This window comes from Homo sapiens, chromosome 5 (assembly GCF_000001405.40).
Source record: "Homo sapiens chromosome 5, GRCh38.p14 Primary Assembly".
Lineage (NCBI taxonomy): Eukaryota > Metazoa > Chordata > Mammalia > Primates > Hominidae > Homo > Homo sapiens.
The window spans coordinates 104,742,649-104,755,342 of record NC_000005.10 but is presented as its reverse complement, the minus strand read 5'-3'; the positions used below and the strand labels follow the sequence as shown (position 1 = coordinate 104,755,342).

The 12,694-nt window shown below is 35.5% G+C and overlaps 1 long non-coding RNA gene across 21 annotated transcripts in view, besides 1 other annotated feature; it reads left to right on the top strand.

Annotated features, from left to right (window-relative positions):
* Nucleotides 1-12,694, top strand: part of LOC105379109 (uncharacterized) — a 144,274-nt gene that overhangs the window by 18,461 nt on the left and 113,119 nt on the right. For 3 of the 21 annotated variants that reach the window (NR_188321.1, NR_188320.1, NR_188319.1), the window contains 2 exons: nt 11,152-11,308; nt 11,489-11,651. The exons of 11 other annotated variants lie outside the window; for them this stretch is intronic. This is a non-coding gene — a long non-coding RNA (uncharacterized LOC105379109). Of the gene's footprint in view, nt 1-336; nt 521-9,896; nt 9,981-10,733; nt 10,826-11,151; nt 11,309-11,488; nt 11,652-12,694 lie in introns of those variants that run through there. 7 more of the 21 variants (NR_188310.1, NR_188318.1, NR_188324.1 and 4 more) reach the window with 6 other exon arrangements.
* Nucleotides 257-1,071: an enhancer, noted in NCBI's record as "OCT4-NANOG hESC enhancer chr5:104089973-104090787 (GRCh37/hg19 assembly coordinates)". NCBI's record gives its function as "activates a minimal SCP1, AML or CMV promoter by ChIP-STARR-seq in naive H9 embryonic stem cells {active_cell/tissue: H9 hESC(naive)}" and the evidence as "EXISTENCE:reporter gene assay evidence [ECO:0000049][PMID:30033119]".

Here is a 12,694-nt window from a genome sequence, read left to right as displayed (position 1 = left end):
CTGGTGACTGGCAATTACAACTGCATCCTAGAAAGTACTTCTTTGCTATCTTCACCATATACATAGGAAAATTTGCAGTTCAAAAATATTCGAGGTGGTCGTCTACATAAATAAAGCTGACAAAGTATGTGAAATTATAAAATAGTTCTACCATAAGTGTTAATTAGGTCCTGTCAGTATATTTGCCTATGTGGAGACATGATAATATAGCTGTAGGTCTACTGGTTAAATTGATGCAGTGAAAGTATAGACTTAAAACTAAGGATGACATTGAATCAAAATATTTGTTGTAAGGAGTTGGCTGAGGTGGCTATTACAAATTTTGTATTTTAATAGGACAATAGATTATATTGGATGTAGATGAAGTTTGGGCAGAATCAGGGATCAATGGCTCCATCTAAATTGTTGCACCAAAACACAGACATACACCTGCTTTTAGATTTGAAGAGTGAATCCTCTCTGGAAAATGTAGCAACTACTCAAAAAAGGTTGGAGGACCAACACTTCTAAGAAGCAGGAGGTGGGTGTTGTAATTCAAATTACATGCTAATTCTCATTGATCAGCCTATTTAAATGGTAATGAGGCATAGATAGTGCTTCTGGTCCCTGTGTTTGAAACTCTGTGCAGAGCAGTCTATAAGCAAGAAAAAATACTGCTCCTTGCTTGAAAAGTTGTGGTTGCTTTAGGGGTATGTGATTGTAAAATATAATTAACTTCCAGCCCTCTGACCTGTGGAGAAGGAGATCCTATCAAGAATTTTTAGGACTACGGGTACAACCAGCTGTTACCATCCTTCCAATGTCACCGTTAGCTGACCAGGGCTGTATTCTTCTGTAAACCAGAAAGAACAGACACAGCTATCACTGCCACTTTTGTGGTGGAGATGGATGACCACATCACACATCATTCTTAGCAGAGTGCGGAGGAAGTCTGATTGCTTTTCCTGTTCAGCAAAATCTTAACTATACAATATGGATGCAAAGTATTGATTCAGGAAACAAAGCAAAATTAAGATGCAATCATTTAGAAAATGAAATGTTGTATAAAAGGAGGTTATGGCCTAATAGGGAAGGAAGGATGTAAATATGTTTAATACATGGTAGCAAGCAATGCCTGTCAACAAAAATGTAAGAAAAGGTGCCAGGGAACATCAGAGAAGCAAGAAATTGCTTGAGGCTGGATGATAGGAAGCACTTATCTGAAATGCTAGTATGTGAAATAGGTGTTGAAAACTGCACAGAACGTGAGAATTGAGAAATAGCTGGAGAAGGAGTGGAAGACATTTGATATCTAACAGAGTAGGAATCAGCTTATGAAAGCCTCTTGGAAGCTATGTGCCAAGAAATAAATACGGCCTGTTGCTCAGGGTGACCTTGAAATATTTGGGGGAGTAATTAAAATAATTTTTATCAAATAACTGTTATTTATTTTATCAAATAACAGTTATTTGATAGAGTTAATGATGAATAGATAAATTGTAAAATAAGTGTGTGTGCCTCAATTTTTTATCATTTGTTTATAATTTTATAATTATTATTCAATTCATACTCAGTACTTATGTTTGTTTCATTCATAGGAAATAACTAATTTTTTTTTTGTTTTTTAAATGTTTACTGTCAGGCAATGTATTAAGCACTTAATCTACATTTAACACATACAAAGTCCAGTAAGCTATCACAATAAAACATACATTTTGCTAACCCTGAGAAAAGCCAATGTTATGTTATCGATCATTTTGAATAAAATAATTTGAATGATTTTCTGGAAGATAATCTGGAGCCAACTTGACTGTTAGAAGTGATGAACAGAAACTTCTGGGAGGTTAGATTATAACAGGGGCAGCTATTGTGCTTGTTCTCAGCCCCAAATCCTCAAATCAGATATTTAAAGTCACAAGATCCTTTAACCAGTCTAATTACTATGCTAATAATATTAGCAAATTCTTCCCCTCTTATAACTATGTTAATTTAATCTAGTACCTTTTTTCCCCTAGAAAATTCTCTATTAAATATAAAATTTTGAAATGTCTTTTTTAGAAGTATATTTCCCTAGTGGCAAATTTAAATGAAACTTTGGACAACATGCTCACAAATATTCTGTCTTGAGAAGTTGCTTTAACATATTTAAAGAAAAACCACATACGTCTTTATGTGGTTAGTTTCTTCACAAAAATACACAAAAATATATTCTCATTAAGTACAACACAATCCTTTAATAGTCTCTTTTGGCCATTACTGTCAATCTTTATATTTCTGTTGTATCACAAGTACTCCAAAATCTTCTCAACAATTTCAATAAAGAAATAATGACCCTCCCACTGGACTACAGCTTATAAGGTTCTCCATTATTTCACCTGTCAGTTCTCTGGCTCAGCTCTTTTTAATGTGCATCAATTTAGTTCTTCTTGCTTCTTCCAATCCTCCCACTTGACAATGGCCCAGACTCTTCACAATAATGAAGAGCACAAGAGCTGATTAACAAATAAGAACTCTTTCCTCCTTCTCCTTGAATACTCACATAATAAATAGTTTTAGTTTTCTAGCATATGTCTGGCTAGATATTTTTCATCCTCTGCCAAGAGAGATGTAAAGTATAATTTTCAAAATAGTAACATTGTTACTCTCATGCAAATATAAAATGAATGTGTGTCTAAGGTTTTATTCAACTCATTAAACAAAAAGAAAACCAGTAAAATATATTTAAAACACACACACACACATAAGTTCAAAGAATATTTGAGGAACTGGGTATTTATGATCAATCTAGCATAAAATTGTTGGGTTAGATACAAACCTGTTTAATGTCCTACCCTTGGGGTTATCTTTCCCATCAAAATTAATTACTTGCATCTTTTCCAGAAAAAAATCTGCAAGTTAAACTCACTCCTACAGAGTTGTGGAATAGTCCAGTCAATATAAAATAAATGAAAGGTTCAAACTCAGAACCACAATGAAAGAACACACAGGAATTTCTTCTGCTTATTTCCAACATTCAGATAATTTTTTTAAAAACTCAAGTTCTTCCCATTTACAGACATTTCCTACTTTTTCTCACCCTTCTCTTGAGTACAGGGTTTCCTCTCTGGCACTATAAGGTTGCTGTCATGGTAAGTTTAGATATTTCTATCAAAATTTTTCCTGAGACACCAGAGTTGTGATAGCTGAGAATTGACTCAGAGTCCTGAGATGACTGTGCCAGCATTGTCTCAATTGCTTTCCATTCTAGAGTTTCTGCCCCTTGAAACATGAGAAAAATAATACATTCCTCAGCTTTTTTTATTCTTTCCACATTTTGGACCAACGCTTAACATTCTGGTTTATATATACTGAAATTATTATAAGGCCACCTTTTACCCCCTGTGATTCTGAGAAACACAGTACTGTATATCTGATTGTTCACCATAATCGTATTTGTAAAAAATATATATATCATACTAAAAGCAAATTACGGGACAAACTCCAACCTGAGAAAACAGTTATGTTAAATTAATTGTATTTTGATGGTAAGGTAGGGGGAGGTAATGGAGGTGAACAAATCTATGACTGCGGATGGAAAACTTGTTAATCCTCTCTCACTAGAATCTTGCTAATTGAGCTCTTACCTGTTGCATTTTTATACCCCAAATATGCCCTGACATCTCTGTCCTGAGCTGAATTATTTATTGTTACTTCCTGAGTAGAGCCACGAGGCTTCATTTTTTTCTCCCCGATTCCAAGTAGCTACAGAAAAGAATTAAAATTCAAGGGCACTCATAGTTCCTGATGAATTATAATAATGTTGGATAAGTTGTTGCAAAAGATTCCTCCAGATACATGTCCAGGCATTTCTTATTCCCAGAGCCGAGTTTTTTTGTCTGATATTAGATAGCTTAAGTGTATTATTCATTAGCAATTTTATGCACTTGTTGAATCTTTATTACAACATTTTAATGTCTTTCCTAATATTATCAATTTTCTAAAGATATAGAAACTGAGGGGCAAAAATGTTAAATAGATTAACCCTACATCACTATGAGAGAGCTAAGATTAAAATTTGGATTTTCTTGTCAAAGGTGAATAGAAAAAAGTTTGAGTTACTTTAGTATCCCACTGTCTTATATCATAAAGGTTTTAAATATTTCAAAATATATCATAAACTTGATTTTAAATAAGGTAAAATTATTGGTTAATATGGGTGAGATATATAACATGAACAAATCACAACTACAAACTTTATTTCCTAAGCTACTAAATATGATACTATATCTGTCAATTTTTAAAACTAAAGAACAACAAAACGTATATTATAAATATACAAATACTGAAGATGTACTGATTTTATCTTTATATTAAAAAGATAACTGTTTTAATTTATATGTTTCAGTATTTTGCTAATATTTTGTATGATGCTGCATGTTTTTTGTAAAAAAAACCCACTAAATTATGCACACAAAAAGTGTCGGTTTAATAAATTTAAATGTCTTATTTTTTTTTCTAGGAAAATAACTTTGAATATTTGTTTGGTGGTTTGTTAACTGTGTTCCAGATCAGAGATGTTGCTTTGTTCTTGTTGTTTTGATTGATTTGGTTTTGATTTAGCATTTCCAATTTTGGGTCTGCTTTCAAATTTATGAAAAAATAATTATGTGATCTTTATATAAATATTATTACAGCTTGTGATAGTACAGGCCTGTGGAGTCAATAGTACTTCATATTTGTGAAATACTTTAAAAGATCACCTCTACTTTGAAGAAAATATGGAGCTGAATTAAATGACCTTGAAAGTTTCTTCTAGTTCTCAGATACAATACTAACCAATTGGCCATTTATATATTGTGTATGATTTATAGGAAGTGACCCTTAATATTTTTGACTTATGGTATGTGGTTGCCTGTAGTTGAATAACCGATAATTACATATTACAGGTTATTATATTATTATTAATAATATATTGAATATATATTGAGTGACCTATATTATTATATATTATTATAGGTCATTCAACTGTATATTCAACAGTATTATTATATATTATATAATTCATAATAACTAATAACATTAACCATTATTAATATTATTAATAATGATTAAAATATATCTAGTATATATAATTATTATATATCGAATATATGTTGAATAACCTATAACAATATAGGTTTTATTCAACTCATTAAACAAAAAGAAAGTCAGTAAAATATATTAAAAAAAGAAACAGGTGATAAGTACTTTGGGGCTCATTATACTACTCTGTCTACTTTTACTTATGTTTAAAATTATCCATAATTTGTGGAGAGGGGAAGGTGAACTAAACATGAAATTACAATATTCTGAAACAACTTATTATGCTTTAACAAATAGCGATTTAGCATTTCATGAAATGTTTTATAAAAGATTTTCAATTAAAAAAATAAAATAAAATAAAAGATAAATACATTATATTTAAAATATAATAATATAGATTATTCAACAGTATAGTCAAGAGTATTATTCAACAGCATTATTATTAATACTTTTCCTGTTATAATCCCCATCCCAGAGGTATTGTATTATTATTTTATAACATTATTACATAAAAAACTTATATTGTTGTTTACATAAACAAATATTAAATTAAATATATATTATACTGTTGGCTATCAATAATTTATGTTACTGTCACCAAAGAAATTGAGAGATTAAAAGAGGGTGTACCAGAATATATTCACTCTGGACAATGGACATATATATAGACACATATATATTGGACATATGGAAATACATATATAAACATATATATTATATGTGTATATATAAAATACATATATACACAAACATACATATAATATATATGTATGTTTCTATATGTATATCCATATGTCCAATATACATATATGTTTCTATATATATCTCCATATGTTCATATATATGTTTCTATATATTTGTCCATTGTCCAGAGTTAGTATATTCTGGTACACTTTCTTTTAATCTATTTCTTTGGTGACAGTAACATAAATTGTTGATGGACATATGGACATATATAAGAACATACATATATACATACATATATATGTGGAAACATACATATATACATACATATGTGTAAATATATTTATACATATATGTGTATATATTTATGCATACATAATGTATGTATATATTTATACATATATAATATATGGGTATATATGTATGTTTCCATATATGTATTGGTTTATATGTATATATACACATATATTATATATGTGTGTGTATATATGTATGTTTCTATATATATGTCCATATGTCCGTATTTACAGAAAGTTGTTTTTGTGCAGATGGCATGTCCACATGTATACCCATGTATATTTCTTTCTTGTATCTGCCTCTAGTGTTGTACTTAGTTTGTATATATGTATAAGTGTGTATTTATGTATATTTCTATATATATATGTATGTGTATATATGTTTCTATACATATGTCCATATGTCCATATATACAAAAAGTTGTTTTTGTGAAGATGGGCATGTCCACATGTATATCCATTTATATTTCTTTCTTGTGTATGCTTTAATGTTGTACTTAGTTTGTATAATTTTTTTTTTTTTTTTTTTTTGAGACTGAGTCTCGCTCTTTCGCCCAGGCTGGACTGCAGTGGAGCCATCTAGGCACACTGCAAGCTCCGCCTCCCGGGTTCACACCATTCTCCTGCCTCAGCCTCCCGAGTAGCTGGGACTACAGGTGACCGCCACCGTGCCCAGCTAATTTTTTGCATTTTTAGTAGAGACGGGGTTTCACCATGTTAGCCAAGATGGTCTTGATCTCCTGACCTCATGATCCGCCCACCTTGGCCTATAATGTTAAACAAGAAAAAATTGCTATTTTAGAGAAAATTTTAGGGAATAAACATTTAAGACAGTTTGGATGTTCACCTGAATTTTTCTTGACAATGCTTAAAACTTTGAACTCAAAATTATTCAATGTTAGTTTATAGCTATAGTGACTACCCACATATACATATATGTGTACATATACATATGTGTGTTCATATACGTGTGTGTGTGTGTGCATGTAAATTTTTTAGTTGTTTTCTGCTGTGTGTCAGTATGGAGTTAACCAGAAATGGTTTTACAGGAATAATGGACTATATCTGTACTATTGGAGGTCTGTTGTAGTAGTCTGTTTTCACACTGCTGATAAAGACATACCTGAGACTGGGAAGAAAAAGTGGTTTAATGGACTTACAGTTCCACATGGCTGGGGAGGCCTCAAAATCATGGCAGAAGGCAAGGAGGAGCAAGTCACGTCTTACATGGATGGTGGGAGGCAAAGAGAAAGAACTTGTGCAGGGGAACTCCTCTTTATAAAACCATCAGATCTCATAAGACTTATTCACTATCATGAGAACAGCACAAGAAAGACCTGCCCCCATGAATCAATTACTTCCCACCTGGTCCCTCCCACAACGTGTGGGGATTGTGGGAATTACAATTCAAAATGAGATTTGGGTGGGGACACAGAGCCAAACCGTTATCATTCTGCCCCTGGCCCGTCCAAATCTCATGTCCTTACATTTCAAAACCAATCATGCCTTTCCAACAGTCCCCCAAAGTCTTAATTCATTTCAGCATTAAACCAAAAGTCCACAGTCCAAAGTCTCATCTGAGAAAAGGCAAGTCCATTCCACCTATGAGCCTGTAAAATCAAAAGCAAGCTAGTTACTTCCTAGATACAATGGGGGTACAGATATTGGGTAAATACGCCATTTTAAATGGGAGAAATTGGCCAAAATACAGGTGCACTGTAACAAAGGGGTTACAGGGCCCATGCAAGTCCAAAATCTAGCTGGGCAGGCAAATTTTAAAGCTCCAAAATGATCTCCTTTGACTCCAGGTCTCACATCCAAGTCACACTGATGCAAAAGGTGAGTTCCCATGGTCTTAGGCAGCTCCACCCCTGTGGCTTTGCAAGGTGCAGCCTTCCTCCCAGCTGCTTTCAGAGTCTGGCCATTGAATATCTGTGGTTTTTCCAGGTGCACTGTGCAAGCTGTTGATGGATCTACCATTCTGGGGGCTGAAGGATGGTGGTGGCCCTCTTCTCACACCTCCCCTAGGTGGTGCCCCAGTAGGGACTCTGTATGGGGGCTCCGACCCTACATTTCCCTTCCACATTGCCCGAGCAGAGGTTCTCCATGAGGGCCCTGCCCCTGCAGCAAACTTTTGTCTGAGCATCCAGGCATTTCCTCACATTTTCTGAAATCTAGGTGGAGGTTCCCAAACCTCAATTCTTGGCTTCTGTGTAGGAAGTAGTAGGAAGAGTCTCAGTTTGTAGCACAGCTTTAAGAAAGTTTTGATAAAGTTGATGGGAGTCCTTGAGCAGCCACTCCTGTTAGAGGAGTTCTGCAGAAATGGGCCTTCCTTACTATCACCCTATGCTCAGCCATTGGCTGGGAGCAGCCAGTGAAAGTCATAGTCTCAGCATGAATGTGGTGAAAAATGAAGAGTACAGAAGTCCATCACTTATATTTCCCACAGCAGGAGAGCTGAGTAGAATCTTAAGTGTCTGCCACAGTCCACCCCTTGTGCCATCATATGGTTTGGCTGTGTCCCCACCCAAATCTCATCTTAAATTATAATTCCCATAAATCCCTTATTTTGTGGGAGGAACCAGGTGGGAGGTAATTGAATCTTGGGGGCGGGTTTTCCCATGCTGTTCTCATGACAATGAATAAGTCTCATGAGATCTGATGGTTTTATAAAGGACAGATCCCCTGCAAATGCTTGCTTTCCTGCCACCACGTGAGACGTGCCTTCGCTCCTCTTTTGCTTTCTGCCATGACTGTGAGGCCTCCCCAGCCATGTGGAACTGTGAGTCCATTAAACCTCTTTTTCTTTATAAATTACTCAGTCTTGTGTATTTCTTCATAGCATTATGAAAATGAGCTAATACGTACCATAAAATCACTTCCGAATTTAGCTTTGGGGAGCACATCCTCCTTGGTTCTTTCAGGCCTCACTTGCTGAGGGGAAAATACAGATGGTAAGTGGAGTAAGCTACAGCCCTCTACTATGTGATAGCTGATGGTAAGCATCATAGCCTGATCAGCTTCAGTAACAGGAACACTTTCCTCCTCTGGGCCTCACCCAAAGCTGGCCGCAATCAGTGCCATCTGTTATATGGGCGAGATAGCATTCTGAGGTGCAGAATATGTTGCCTTCAAACCCCTAAGAGGGTTACCATGTAAGGTGCTTCCCTCTTCGTAATAAAGGATGAAAGATGAGTCAATTTTCCTTTTCTCTTGTGGGGTTTTTTTGACACATCCTGAACACTGGACTCTGAAAACATCACTAAAGTAGCATGTTCCTGAATCTTTGATGGTTTATGTCCTATAATATGTAACACTTATATCTTACTAAGGCTGCCAGTGAACTAACTTCCTTTTGCTTATGCTGTCTGATCACCTTAATGTCATTGATGTGAGGAATTCATTGGATATTTGATGGAATCCCCAGGCTATTCAGTTTAGACTATAACAGAAGTTATAAAAGAGGGTAAAAAGAATTAATGTACCTCTGAAACCAAACTTCAAATAAACATTCTTTACTTTCTCATATGAACATGAACTTATAAAAATCCTGTCTTATTATCAGAAGGTAAAATAATCCATTCTCCATGTCAATAACTATATGCCATTGTATATGCCATGTACCTGAAACCTTATTAAATTATTCTAGTAATGGTGACTGTCAGCAAAGCATCCACAACTATAGCAGCCACATGGTTAAGTCTACAGTAGTCTATAATCATTCTCTAGATCTATACAGTTGTTTGTAGGGGAAGACTAGTAAATTAATGCAGATATAATAAAAATGACCTCCCCTATAACCTTTAGATCTTTAGTGGTAGTAATAACCTGCAACATCCTTCTGGGGATGTGATATTTGTTTTGACTCAATCTTAGCTGGAGGGAGGATGGCATTTCAAGAGGTGGCAAGTGGTCCTTCTTCACAGTCATATCTCTCATTCTGCAAGCCAAAGACTCAATGTGAGTATTACTCCAACTGCATAGTCAAGTCCAATTTGTATTTGGGTACCTGGAAAACAACTACTGGGTGGATCCATGGACACAGTGGGCCATTGTGGGTTAGATTTTAGTCAGTGCTCCATTTATTTCCTATTATACTTAAGCCTCCAATCTTACATAGGGTCAATGATGACACATTAAGACTTTAGTTGTCAATGTCAAGTTACACTCAGGCTCTGTCCAACTGTCTTCAAATATATGAGTATTTCCCATTCTTTAGTGTACAGTGTTATGAATAGGGAAATCATCACAACTTCTGATGTTCTGTAGTGTTGCATGGTGCTTCTTCCTATGAACCTGACCACCTCTTCAGTCATTGGCTTCCAAATCTAAAACTTAGCACAGGTCTGAGAACTCAGCAAGTAATCACGACTTCTTTTGAAAAATTACAGATTCAGAATGTGTATGTTCATATCTATTTCATGGATACATTGCATAATGGGAGGTTTGGGCTTCTCATGTCACCCAAATAGTGACCATTGTACCAAATAAATAATTTTTCAACTCTCATCTCTTTCCTACCCTCCCCACTTTTGGAGTTCCCAGTGTCTATTATTTCCATATTTGTGTCTATGTATACCCATTGTTTAGCTCCCACTTGTAAGTGAGAACATATGATATTTGATTTTCTGTTTTTAAGTTATTTCACTTAGGATAATGGCATCCAGCTCTATGTATATTACTGAAAAGACATGATTTCATTCTTTTTTATAGCTGCATAATATTCCATGGTGTATATATACCACATTCTTTTCCCAGTCATCAATCACTGGACGCTTAAGTTGAGTAATGGCTTTTTATTGAGGGTGAGTGTGCCAAACCTCTGTGTCTTGATTTTTGTTTTCTTCTGTTTTTTTGTTTTGTTTTGTTTTGTTTTTTATTTTTGTTTTGTTTTGTTTTGCTTTGTTTTTGGAAGGGGAGTTGTAGATGTCAAGCAGCCTCCTTGTGGTCTGCCCATCTATTTTGCCTTTAGAGGCTTCCTGCTCTTTTAATCATCCCAGCTCCCTGTAAGTCAAGCTCCCTTGGCTGCCTATGTGACCTTGCTGGACATCAGAGTAATTGCCTTCCCTGCTTTCTGGTGCTCAACTTTTATACCTGGCCTCTAATATTTTGGGGCGTCATTATCTCATAGGTATTACAAAGCTCAAATCTGAGAAAACCTTGTCTACCATCAACCCTGACCTACAGAGGAGAGGCACCCCCAAGCTTATTAGTGATCCTGTCTCCGTCTTATTGGCACATCCTGATGGCCTTGATCTCTAGTTCTTCCTGTGGAGCATAACCATATGGTAGGTCTTCAGGCCTCACATAATAAATCCATTCCACGTTCCCAAGTGCTTCAGCCTCTTTATTCCTTTCACTGTTTTCTTCCAGAGCGACTCAAGAATTTCCATTTTGCTTAGTATTAGCCATCACTTTCTCCAGGTTTCTAAGAATAACACTTACAGAGAGTTTTCCTCATTTTTTAGGTTCTTTGCCAAGATGTTAAGACCAAAGTCGGAGAGTGAACCCCATGTCAATGAATTCTTGTTTTTCTGATCTTACATTCCATCACTTTGATCCAGTACTCTCAAAATGCAATCACAGTTGTACATGTCTTCTCCTGTCAATAAACGCTACCTTAGTACTGCAGTTCCTTAAGTGTGTTGTTTCTTTCTTTTCTTATCAGGCCCAGAACACACTTAACGTAGATCATGGTAACTTTCAACTCTAGTTTTCAACCTAGTAGGAAGGAGAAATGGGACTGTGTAGTATTTTAAAGTTTTATAGTCTTTTTCTTTCTTTTTTTTTTTTTTTAGACAGAGTCTTGCTATGTAATCCAGGATGGAGTGCAGTGGTCAGTGGTGCAATCACAGATTACTGCAACCTCTGCCTCCCAGGTTCAAGTGATCCTTTCACCTCAGTCTCCTGAGTAGCTGGTACTACAGCATACATCACCACGCCCAGCAAAGTTTTGTAGTTTTTAGTAGTGATAGGGTTTCATCATGTTGCCCAGGTTAGTCTCCAACTCCTGGGCTTAAGTGATTCACCCACATAGGCCTCCCCAAATGCTGGGATTACAGGTGCAAGTCACTCTACCCAGGCTGGGTCTTATAGTCTAATAAAGGAGTGAAAGAACTAGTTTACTGCACAAAAGTGAACTATTTCTCCAAGCTCTGCCAGTTCAAGGGTGTCTATAAGTCATCATCTACATGGACACTTGTCTAGATATTCCCATCCCAAGCTTCAGAGTCCCAGATTGTCTTAACCAGGGCCTTGATTTTAGCACAAAAACACCTGTCTTGAAGGACTTTCAGATGTCTCTGAAGTTATGCAAATATAATTATCAAATTTTCAATTTGCTGCTGTATCTGTTCTTCTCCAGGAGATCTGGATATCTATTTAAGCCAGCAAAAAGACCCTCTGGTGCTCACATTTTGCTGTTAAATGCTTGTTTACATCCATCAGTTTCTCATTATTTCTCTGCAAGGCACCAACATAATATAGAAGTCCTTGTCTTTTTGATGCTGCCTCGTAAACTCTTATCTTTCAAATGCCTGAATTATTGCATTTGAAAGGGTATTTTATTCCATTGGAACATATTTTCATGTCTCAAGTGGTGAAATCAATAGCAATTAGGGTACCATCTTGTGCCAGAGACTGTCTATGCCTCACCTACCACTTAGGATGACATC